The 12,052-nt window shown below is 49.6% G+C and overlaps 1 protein-coding gene across 9 annotated transcripts in view, besides 2 other annotated features; it reads right to left on the bottom strand.

Annotated features, from left to right (window-relative positions):
• CEMIP (cell migration inducing hyaluronidase 1) overlaps nt 1–9,546 on the bottom strand; it is a 172,402-nt gene extending 162,856 nt beyond the window's left edge. For 4 of the 9 annotated variants that reach the window (XM_047432899.1, NM_001293298.2, NM_001293304.2 and 1 more), the window contains exon 1: nt 9,302–9,546. The gene's annotated coding sequence lies outside the window, so the exon portion shown is untranslated. Of the gene's footprint in view, nt 1–6,004; nt 6,207–6,791 lie in introns of all 9 variants that reach the window. The other 5 variants (XM_047432893.1, XM_047432900.1, XM_047432896.1 and 2 more) reach the window with 2 other exon arrangements.
• Nucleotides 8,519–9,024: an enhancer, noted in NCBI's record as "H3K27ac-H3K4me1 hESC enhancer chr15:81072233-81072738 (GRCh37/hg19 assembly coordinates)". NCBI's record gives its function as "activates a minimal SCP1, AML or CMV promoter by ChIP-STARR-seq in naive H9 embryonic stem cells {active_cell/tissue: H9 hESC(naive)}" and the evidence as "EXISTENCE:reporter gene assay evidence [ECO:0000049][PMID:30033119]".
• Nucleotides 9,645–9,924: a silencer, noted in NCBI's record as "silent region_6737". NCBI's record gives its function as "represses an Ori minimal core promoter by ATAC-STARR-seq in GM12878 lymphoblastoid cells {active_cell/tissue: GM12878}" and the evidence as "EXISTENCE:reporter gene assay evidence [ECO:0000049][PMID:35858748]".

Below are 12,052 nucleotides of genomic sequence, written 5' to 3'. Positions count from 1 at the left end.
ATTATTGATTTTTTTTTTTGCCTCTAGTGCTTATGTTTCCTTGTGTCTAATATAAAGCTTTAGAGTCGTCTGGCCGTGAGCATGGGGCTCAGCTGCAAGCACCAGTTGGAGCGGAAGAGAGATGAGCAGGCTCACTCATGGCTCAGCAACGTTAGTGCAAAACAACCTTTTGCTGAGTAACATGCAAATGGATCTAAAACATATGGATTAAACGCCTCTGAAAATAAACAGGGTTTTAAAAGGAAAGGAAAGGAAAAGTACTTAGCCACTATGTTTGAGGTTTTCCTGAACCCAAACCTTTGGAAAACTAGCATTAGAGTGAATTACTCAGTGCCTGTAACACAATCAGCTTTGAAATAGGCTTGTCATAAACCACCGGTTTCTTCTAAAAGAAATGTTTTTCTTTTTCTTTTTCTTTTTTCTTTTTTCTTTTTTTTTTTTTTTGAGATGGAGTTTCACTCTTGCTGCCCAGGCTGGAGTGCAGTGGCGCAATCTCAGCTCACTGCAACTTCCACCTCTCGGGTTCAAGCAATTCTCCTTCCTCAGCCTCCGGAGTAGCTGGGATTACAGGCATGTGTCACCATGCCTGGCTAATTTTTGTATTTTTAGTAGAGACAGCATTTCACCATGTTGGCCAGGCTCATTTCAAACTCCTGACCTCAAGTGATCTGGCTGCCTCAGCCTCTCAAAGTGCTGGGATTACAGGTGTGAGCCACCTCACCCGGCCTTAAAAAAAATTTATTTTAATGGTTCACCCAAACTAGCTCCTCTATGCACTCCTTTTGGGGCTCATTCCTACTGTTCTTTACAAGAAGGAGCATGACTTTGCACACCGACAGGGGCCTGGGAGGCACTGGAGACCCAGGATTCAGTAGGACTCCTGAGGCGAGCCTTTAGGGGGCTTGAGGAGACCAAGCTGGGAATAAGTCCCTCACGGCATGACAAGAGTCCTATAGAGAAGGCAAACAAGTAATGCTTTGGACTAAGAGCCAGACAGACACCCAAGGGCATCAGCCTATACCATCTCTGTAACTCTGAGCATCAGTGTTTTTGTCTCCTCGCTGCAGATACCACTGCCTCCTCTGGAAGCTGGAGAGAAGGGCCCACACATGGTGAGAGCCCAGGCAGCAGCCACTGTGTACAAGTGGATGGCTCAGGTTCACCACTGGCCAGCCCCCTAAGACAGTTCCATGGGATTTTAGAAACCGGCATCTGTGGCTACCAGTGCTAAGAGATCAGCGCAACCAAGGATCCAACCTAAGTCCAGCTTTGAGGAAAAATCTAGGAAGTAGGAGAGAGAGAGGCTGAATCCCAAGGTCTGGGAGTCAGTCTTTGTTTTAGTATGTTCCAGTTGCTATGGTGATGTGGGCTGACGCAAAGGCCTCCAGACAGGGGGCTGGATTCCCCCAGAAAGAGATGCTGCTGATCACCCACCAACACTCAGCCTTCTTTGACACTGTCCAGGGCAAGTGTTTTGGTATGGCCAGTAGAAGGAGCCCCAGGCAACTGCAAATGCCCATCCTGGAGGGAAACCCATCTGCCAGGGGGCCCCTTCCCTCTGCTAGAGTTCCTCACATACCTAGCAGGGTTCTTCCAGAGGTGAAGGTATTGTCTAAACTCTCTAGACTGAACAAGCCTTACTCTCACCATCTTCAATAATTCATATGATTATGTTTTTAGAGCTGGCTCCAGGCCCAGAAGGGGCTCTTCAGTTCCCTTTCTAAGGACTGGGACCACTCATCAGTGAGGGGCAGCCTCTCTTCGGGTGTTATCCCATTCAGGGCATCATTTTCTCCCTTGAGGAGAGCTTTGTAGGAGGCAGACAGAAGCCACAGCTAAAAATTGGAGCCACCACCCGCAACCCTGCGCCTCTGCAGCAGAGCTCTTCCATTCCTGTCTATCTGACTTGCCTCCTCTTTTCAAGCCCCACCTTCAAAACATCTTGCGATCAATCAAATTTGGCTTTTTGACATCAATGAAAAAGGATGCAAGTTCCTGGATAGACCTTGCCAAATTTTAAACCCTGAAAATAAGATTTCTTTTTCCTTACCAGGTTTTATATAAAAAATATTGGGAGGTTTAACAAGATTAACAGACCAGGTTGTAAATAAGAAGCCCATTTTTGCAAAAAGCTCACAACTTTGTTTGTCCCTCCCATGCTCAGCTACAGGTTGGAGTTTCCTGCACCTATCATATACAGCCCTTCTCACTGGTCCTCCATGTACCCCATCTTTGTTGGATTATCACACATGTGGTAATTCCAGATTTCCGTTTTTAATTTTAATTCTGGTTTTCAATTTTCACTGAAAATTGTTGATGGACACACACACACACACACACACACACACACACACACACAGCAAGACATCCAGAATATTAAAGACATAGCAGGCTGGGTGCAATGGCTCAAGCCTGTAATCCCAGCACTTTGGGAGGCAGTGGTGGGCAGATATCTTGGGCTCAGGAGTTTGAGACCAGCCTGAGCAACACGATGAAACTCATCTTTACAAAAATGTTAAAATTAGTCCAAAAAATTAGCTAAAATTAGTCCCAGCTACTTGGGGGGCTTGAGGATCACCTGAGCCTAGGAGGTTGGGGCTGCAGGGAACTGTGTTCATGCCACTGCTCTCTAGCCCGGGTGACAAAAGTGAGACTTTGTCACAAAAACAAAACAAAAAGACATAGCAACACAAACCACAATAAAACTAAGCTAACACTATTGATATGACTGCCAAAAGCAAAACGAAATGACCCAGGACCGAAGTTTTCAGAGTGTGCTCCTTGGAACCCACAGAGCTCTGTGGAACTTTTTGAGAGAACTCAAGACAAAAATCAGCTCCCATCCCCAACCACAGCCACTTCTTATCTAGTTTTTAAATTGGATTTACTAAGATTTTATCGCAAAAAAAGCATTTTGTGGTTCAAGTAATTTTTAAATTACTAGTCTAGAAGACTAAAGGTCTCCTAAAGGAAAGAGGCCTAACAGCTGCTCAGAAGCACTCTCTTGCGCCCAGTGTAGCCCAAAGCCTGGGCAGGTAAGGGAGCTTATGCACATGATGCAAGTAAGGGAGCTTATGGACCTGGACAGGTGAGGGAGCTTATGCATCTGAGGCAGGTAAGAAACTTCATGCATCTGAAAGGTTGCAGGAAGTAAGGGGTTTAGGCCTTTCTGAGCTTCTGACTCTCCTCATATGCCCTCAGTGAAGCTTCCTTGGATCTCCTCTGGCTGAATTACTGGTCTTCTTCATTTCTCCAGCAGGTCTCACGCCCTCCACTCCTCTTGACTAATCTGTCCTAGCCCCCATCACCCTGTATGACAGCTTCTGACTGGGATGTCTGTCCTCTCACCAGGCTGCCAGCTCTTCGAGAGCAGGAACCATGTATTCAACTGCCTTCTCAGTGACTCATTCAGGGCCTGCCTCATAGAAGATGATCAAAAACTTGTACTCAACTTATTTTCTGCTTCCGATTGTGGCGGTGGGTGACGGAACACAATTGCACACCAGCATCTTGGGCTACCCAGAATGTACTGGTGATGACCAGTTCATCCTCCCAGGAGTGCCACAGGGAGGGGGTTGAGGAAGATAATTGGGCCTTAATTTCATTTTCAGGTTCAAAAAAGAAGAAATTGTGATCTTTGGAGTCTAAAAAAGTTGTTTAAATGTAAACATCCATTCTCAGTGTCTGGAGCCAGAGTTAGATGAAATTCCCTAAGTGATCTCTTAATACCACCAAAATTACATTCAAATGCCTCTGCCAGGCAAAGATAAATTGCCATTTGCACAACGATCTTGCGCTTAAAAGTAGCTCGGTCCAGAGAGCTTTGGAAAATTTATTATGACAGGGAAAAGTGGAAACTTAAAGGGGGCCAAGATATTTAGTCTGCTGATAAGATGGCTTAGGAGCGACAATAATTATCTCCAAGAATTTTAAGGGTCATTATAAGGTCATTAGGAGGGCACAGACCAGCTGGGCTTCCTCAACTCGGACAACGGGAACTGACTTAAATTACACCAAGAAGAATTGGAATCAGAATCACAGAAAGTCATCAATGTCATAATGACATAGGCCCCCACGACTTGAAGGCAGCTCTGTGCACCAGCAGCGTCACCTGGGAGCATGTTGGAAAGGTGGACTCTCAGGCCCTACCTCAGATCTGCCAAATCAGAACTCTCACTTTAACACGTGCCCCTGTGAGTTGCTGGCATATTTTAAGTCTAAGAAGCACTGGTCTAACCTAACCCCTAAACAAAGGACTAGAGAAGTCAAGGAACCTGCCCAGGTCCTGGCTGATAGTCCAGGCAAGGAGTACAGTCACAGTAAGCAGCAAGCAGTCCCCAAGGAACACTCCAATGGTTCCCACCTTTCCTGACTGGCAGAGCCACAGAAAAATGTGCCTGTCCTCCAGGCCACTGCACTTTCCTCGTCCCAAGGGCTGAGTGCATACCTTACAGCCATAAAGACTCTGGAGAACAGCATGAACTCCTCACCTCAGAGAGGGCCAAAGAGTGCAGCAGGCTCCTGGGGAAGCCTGTGGCCCTCCCTCCTCCGTGTGATGTCTAAAAACAGGTAAGACAGCAATCTGGCATGGACACCTTCCATGCCAGAACAACTATCTAGATATGCTTTCTCCGTAACAGAAAATGTCTAATGGTGCAGCTCTCCTACTGACAGGAGAGAAAGAAATTCACAGGGCTTTCAAAGACCTGGTCTTCAAAGGTTTTCAAAGTCTGGGCAAAGCACTTTAAACTGAAGTTGCATCTAAACCCCTGATATGACTGCCCTTCCAGAAGACTCAAAGATATCCCAGTGCAAGGAGCCAGGCTGTCCAGCTCCTTGCTCTGAGCAGGTGCCTGTGCAAGGAAGGCCTGACTGCTTGTGCTCCCCAGGGCTCACTCACCTGCAGGGGTGGGGAGGCAAGGATGGATTCAGATTCCTGGAGCCAAGCTGAGTCTAGGGACAGGCCCTAAAAAATAACAGGGGCAGAGAGGAGTAGCAGCTCCTCTCCCTCTGGGTGGCCATGTGTGTTTCCTAACACCAAGGGAACTAAGCAGACAGCAAATGTATATTTGATGACATTTCTCTGCAAGCAGCCTCCGTTCTGAAGAACCAAGCTTGAACAAAGCCTGGTGCCAGGGCACAGAGAAGAAAAAGAAGGACTAGGGGCCTGCCAGAGAGGATAAGATGGCCCCTGAAGAAAGTAGCTAAAGCAAAGAGGTGCAGATATTAATAAAAGTCACCATGACAGTCACCATCCTACTCAAATTAGCAAAGTTTCTACATGCCAGACTTTAGGGAAAGGAGGTTCAGGCCCAGCTGAATAGCTTGCAAAACAGTAGAAAGGAACCCAGCACTGAGAAGTCTCCCCCAGTACCCACTGCCACTTCCAGCCTCCTGCCAACCCAACCAGATACAAGAGAGTAAGAATGTGATCCTTTCCTATTCACTGTTCAAAGGAAACTGAAACTGCCTCCAGATAATGGTAAAAAACAAGCAGTGAGAGATAGCTGATGCTTTACCCTGATAAGATCAAACACCTGGGTATGTGCCATCATGTAGAAAGAGATGTGTAGTCCAGACTTTTCAAAGATATGCTATCTTGTGGATGCAACTCACAAATACAACTTTGTTCCCATTTAGGAACCCAACCTACATGTTTGCATTTCTCTTTTGAGCTATAACTGCAAATGCAAATTGCATTTAATCCATCAAATTGTGATGCTTTGCCGATACCACAGAAGGTACTAAAAAGAGGTCACTTAAGCAGCAGGCTTCAAAGGAGGCTGATGAGAATAATTGAATTCACCCCTTTCACTCTGCTGGCCTTCCCCACTGAATGCCACTCTTGCCATTTGCTCTGTCTGTCCTGAGGACTCAGATACTGTTGCAATAGGCAGAATGCCACAGGACTGATGAAGAGCTCGTTTCTACCACTTTACATGACAGTTCCTCCCCTCATTGGCCTTCACTCCAAGAGTGTCCTGTAGTTCAATAGTTTTCTTACCAGAAAGCCATGGGTATGCTGGAAACTGGAATCTGCATGGGAGTCCACAGAAGACAGCCAGGAATTCAAGGTCATCCAAGGCCCCATGTCCTCCTGCTCTGTTCATGTCACCAGCAGTCTCATAGAAAGATTCTGAGCATCTGTAGCATGTATTCTTCAGCTCCAATCCTTTTAGACGGAAGAAGCTAAGATTCCTTCTGAGCTATTAAGAGCAGAAGGAGGAGAAGAATAAAAATCTAAGAGCACCAGAATGTAAAACTGACAGGGATAAAAACACTCACATGCACGCACACACACACACTTTTGTGGGGGGAGAAAACTCTAACTGGAAGACTGGGTACTATACAATTCCATTCTCCAAACTTCTGTGGTGTGTCATGTATTAGTGATGTCTACCAGACAGAACCCTGAAATGCAGAGCTGGAAGGGACCCTCCAGTCCAGCTGGGATCAAATAAGTGCTCACTGCTCTGGGCAGAGCAAGTATCTTGGTCAGAATCTCACACCTAAGCAAGGCTCAAGCATGAAGTAAGGTGCTTCCTGCTTGGCAATGACCACTCAGTGAACCCCTGGGCAAAGTTCCACTCCATAAAGCTAACCCCTACTTCATCCTGGAGTGATCTAGAAACCAGGCCTTAGAGGCCACTCTCCATCAATACCCAAGAGTACTTCACTTGCAGAAAGACAACAAAGCCACTTAGAAGACCTTGCATTCTTGTGAGAGAACAATCAGGAAAAATTGATCATCTGAACCAGAGGGCTGTGAGAGTATTTTGAAAACAACTTACTTTTATCTTTCCTCCAAGTAGTGTAGGTAGGGGAAAACAGTTGACCGATTTTTATCACATAAAAGTTCTTCCATTTGTCTTTAAATAAGAATTTTTTTTTCATTGTGATCAACTCCAGCATTTTCATCAATTCCATCAACAAGTTCTCGGATGCAAAAATAAAGTGAAGATGGAGTCCCTATCAAACAGTTACTAGGTTAAGAGAGAGGGCAAAGGGATGGTGAACATAATTCAAAAGAAATGCACAACTGTCTTTAAAATATACCTGTAATTGCTACCATTTAAAACGATTTCTCTATGCTCAGCACTGGATTAAATGCTTTACATTGTACCAATTACTGTAATTCTCATAGCAACCCTGCAAGATGGCATTGCGTTATTCCCAGTTTACATATCAGCAAACAGGCACAAAACATTTGAGCAACTTTCCCAAAGTCACAGATGCTGTCTCAAAATTTTTTTTTATAAGAGGTGTTTACTTGTTTTTACTCTCCGTCGGCCTTTGTCAGTCACACACAAAAAAAGCAGACCTGCGTTTCTTGTAATTTTAAAATAAAGGAAGATACACACTTCAGTATGGGTGGAAATGACAAAAAGAGCCCCATCCAGTGTCGTTTCTTACCAGAGAAGGGAGATCTTTAATTTGGTGCACAGATTAAACCCTACAGGTTTTTCCACCCTGTTTCAAGTGACCAACTTGAAAAGTCATCTACTGGGCTAAAAAGGAGCCTTTGGAAATTGCTTTAAGAAAGTCATGGGCTTTGAACAAAACTATTAGGATCAGAAAACCGCATAGTTGCTTTTGCAAATGCATCCGATTGCCTTCTCTATAAATTTGCTCTATTTGATTTCTTCTCCATTCTATCATTAATCGTAAAACTAATATATCCTCCCAATCCCATATGTACTAAATAAATAATTTAATTTGATGGAACACATGAACTTGTGCCCTACACAGAAAACAGTTTGAGCTGGATCCCTAATTATGTCTGGCGTAATTGTATCTGGCATTATCTCACTGCCTGGGTCGGATTCTCAGGGGCCATACTTTCCTAACAGCTCTGAGGGGTCTCCGTGGTGTCATAGAAAAGCCAGAGAACCACAGAGTGCCCCCGGGAGGTCCTGCAGAACTGCCGGCTCAGCTAGGACCTGGTCACAAACCACAGACTCCTGAGGGCTGGGCTGCCTCCTGAGTGGTAATACCGAGGGCCCCAGCGGACTCTCAGTCCCTTTCCTCTTTCCCAGCGCCCCAACGCCTTGGGTCTGGGAAGAAAGCGCACGACTTCCCCGGAGACCCAGGGCCACAGACCCCGAGTGGAGGAAGTGGCTGGGAGCTGTCCATGGTGGCGTCGCGCCTGGGCACGCAGAGCCGCCGGCTCCCCGCCCTCGGGCGCGCCCTGGATCACTTTCCAGACCGCAGGGATGGAGAGACGCGCTCCCCGGCTCACCGTCCCTGGTATGGGGCTGCAGCCAGGCACTGGCTCACACATCAGAAGATTAGTTTTTAAAGGGAGCTCTCACCTGTGGGTAGCGTTGGCTGCTTGGAGAAGGACTCAGGACCTCAAACCCGGCAGCTGGCGGAACTCCTGGGACTGCCGTAGCGTCCGACCCTTGGGGAACAGCGGCTGTCGCAGAGAGTGTCTGCGGCTGAGGACCCAGGGCGCACAGCGCTCCTCTCTCATGAGCACACGCATCCCTTGGGGTCCATTCCAGAATGTCACTGGCCTTCGTTCCCAGAGCGGCGAGCTGGAGACCTGGCCAGCGTTCTGCCAGGACTCTCTGCCTTTCCTCACAACCTAACGCGACCTTTCTTGGAGCCGACGTCCTTTGCCAGGGACCACCAGACCTTCTTCCAGCGATGCCACGTTTGGAGTCTCAGTCTAAACATCAGCAGAGCCCCCCGGGTTCATCTAACATTGCAATTGCCTCAGCTCGGCCCCGCGCCAGCGCGTCGCTGGGTGCCTAGCGCTGTCCCGGAGGCACTGGGAGGCGAGGGAAACTGGGAGGAAGAGCGTGCTGAGGCAGGAGCAGCAGGGCGCAGACCTGTTGCTAGGCGCACGCCCGCTAGAGCTCGGCGTGAGCTGGCTCCCAGTCGGCAGGACACCGAGACCTGACCCTTGTGGTACTCCCTCCTCGGCGAGACACTCTCCCGGGCGCAAGCCCCCGGTGCCATTCAGAAGGGGGAAAATCTACGGAAAGCAGGAGTCTGCCCCCTCTGGATGCCCTCTGGGGACTCCAGCGCCCCCCGGCACCTGCAGCTTGTAAAGCATCACAAGATCTCAGAGAAATCCCACAGAGGACAGTGCCAAGAGCGTGTGCCCATCAACAGACGCATGGACAAACAGACAGATAGAGGTAGACTGCACAGCACAGGGTGGACAGACAAACAGAAACTGAGGCGGGTAACGTTTACCCTGTGCCGGGTGGAGGCGCGGGCCCCCACTTCTTACCTCTCTTCCGTGGCATGGGCCGTCAGCTCATCCCTGACGCCCCCAGCCAGGCCCTCTTACCTCTGGGTCTGTAGCCGAGACAGTGTCACGCCTCGCGGGCCAGGAGCGCAGCGGCCCCGGACGTCTGGTCGCTGACCGCCAGGCGCCGCGAGCTCCCGGGGCGTGGGCAAGCGGAGTGGTAGCTAGTCTGGGAAATCTGGGTTCAGACCCTGGCCGCGCTCAGCCCCGCTGGCTCCCCGCGCCGCTTGCGCTCGCCAGGCTCTGTCCGATAGCACCGCGCTGGGCTCTGCTTGAGCGCTAGCTCCCCGGCCCTCAGCCGAGAGGCCGCTTTTATAGCCACTTTTACTGACTCCTCCCCCGAGGAGCCCCTGACGCCCGCGCGGCACCGAAGCTCCCTCCCTCGCCCCCCGATGAAACTTCCCTCCACGCGCCCCCGCCTTGCCCAAGTGGGGCGGGGGCCCTGTGCCCGGGCCGGACCGGGGCGGGCTCTGGCGGCGGCTCTGGGAGACGCAGACCTGAGCCCGCGGAGCCCGGGTGCGCAGAGTCCCGCCCGCAGCAGCCAGGTGAGGGCGCTGGAGGCCAGGACTCGGTGGAGCGGCCGCGGCGGACCGCGGAGAGCAAGTCCCCGGGCCTCCAAGGAGCCAGGGTCGCCCGTGCCCCGCTCGCGCCCCGGGGCGCCCTCCGAGGCAAAGAGGCAGTGGAGGACAGGAGAAAAGGTCTGCGCCTGCCACAGAATCGCCGCGAGTCGGGGTCCCAGGCTAAGTCTCAGGATCTCTTTTTAACTCAGCAGCAAAAGAGTAGCCCGAGAAAGAGATTTTGGTATTGGCCTAGCAGTTAATCCGAGAGGAAGATGCTTGGGTGTTCACTGAAAGGCACCTTGGTTTGAAACTGGATTCAGACATGCCAGTTACAACTGTGTACAGGATCTTAACCCCTCCCAGTCTCAGTTTCCTCATCAGGAAAATGGGTTCTGTGATGCTTCCTCACTAGAATGGTGAGGCTTAAATGAGATCAGGAAAGTCCAAGTTCTAAGCACATAATAGGTGCTTGGTAAGTTAGAAACATTCCCTGTGGGTAGGAGGGCTCTGTGCCTCTTTAACTGGACAGGCCAAAGTTCTGAAGGGTCAAAGCAAGAAGGTGCGGCTGGTCTAGACATTCCCTCGCGGGAGGAAACAGTACCAGTAGGAAAAGTTCATCACAACACATCCCTAGGGCATATGGAGTCTCCTCTCAACTCTGCCGCTAACCTACTGTGTGACCAGGGCCAGCTACTTCCCCTGTCTGAGCCTCAGGGTGGTTTTTTTGCAGGGAGGTGAGGAGTGTTTGTTTTTCTTGTTTTGTTTTAATCTGTAAAATGAGGGCGTTGATACCTGCTCTCTGCCTCTTCCACCTTTCAGAGTGTGACTCAGCCCCCTTTCCTGGTTAGCAGAGGCCTCCTAGAATATACATTTCTTTCTTCCTTCCTGCCAGTGTTCTCTGAGAACCAGCTCCTCAGGCAAGGTCTCCATTCTGTGTAGTACACACTAGCTCCGGGACTCTAGGTCTGGACTTTAAGGCCAGGCTGTGGTCGGCAGAAGCTGTGGAAGTCTGTGATCACATCTGGGCTGAAGCAGAAGCCTTTGTCACCTGGTTAAACTGGGAAGTCCTGCAATCCACCTCTAGGCCTCTTCCAGAAAGCGGAACTTGATCCTTACTGGGGGTGGTGGTCAGGATTCTCAGCCCTTCTTTGATTTATTGGGAAGTAATGAACTGGATCCAATGGCAAGCCCTCCTCCCCAACCTTTTCTTTCCAGCCGAATAAAATGGAGCCCCCCCGACCCAGGGCCCCTCTCCCCAGTCCTCACCATGATTCCTGTTTATGTTTTTCTTCCTTAAGGAGCTCCCAGAAACCAGACCCACAAAGAGTTGTGTGTTAGGGGTTTGGGGGTGCTGGGCATTTGGCCCAAATGGAGAAAGGTCGACCTTGAATCAGCCTGGCTTGGCACGACATGCAGGATTTTCCATCAACAGACAGTAGATTTGAGGCCTGAGTGGAGCCAGGTAGCTCTCTGGTGAGGGGCTGGCTCCACAGCCATCTGGGAGATGAAGTGGTAAAGGCAGGGTCCTGTCTAGGGATGGGCCCTGAGAAGTGCTTGGCTATGTTTTCTCAAAGCACTGAAATGCCCAGCACATTCCTCTGGTATCCAGTTTTCTTTATCACAGACCAATGCCCAGGGGAAAAGAGCAGTGCTGATGAATTACAAACAGGCTCCGAATGTCTAAAACCAGATTCTCCAGCCAGTTCTCCATTCAGCACTGCCATTCAGCACTCAGTGATGAACGGGGCGTGCCGCGTAATTCTTTATGGATAAATATAGCAACATGACACTGGTGGATTTACTGCCCACACTTTCGCAATCCATTGTCTTGCTCTTATAAATGCAGAGACAGGAAAGAGCTGGTCAAGAAAGGCTGTGTTAGTTTTCTGATTCTTGCCGAAATCTCCCAGCAGAGAGTCTCCAGAGAGAAGGGAAACGCCCATCAATGGTGTGACCTGCCACCCAGAAAGCCTGCCCTTCCTCCATTCTTTGCATTTGCCTCCAACCCACCTTCCTCAGGTGGGATGCAGCCCCCTCAGCTACATCCTTGTGCAGTAGATTGGCCTGCCTGCTCACTGTTGCCTCAAGCTGCCCAAGTCTGGCATCCTCAGTCTGCTGACAGGATGCCACATCTGTTCCCTAAAACAAGGGCCTCCACACTCCACCTGCTGATCAGCAAAGACAGCACCTGACCCTACAGCAGCCTGCCTTATTACAGTTTAAAAGGTTGGCC

The sequence above is a fragment of the Homo sapiens genome, chromosome 15 (genome assembly GCF_000001405.40).
Source record: "Homo sapiens chromosome 15, GRCh38.p14 Primary Assembly".
NCBI lineage: Eukaryota > Metazoa > Chordata > Mammalia > Primates > Hominidae > Homo > Homo sapiens.
The sequence above is the reverse complement of the archived record's forward strand: the minus strand, read 5'-3'. Positions and strand labels throughout refer to the sequence as shown.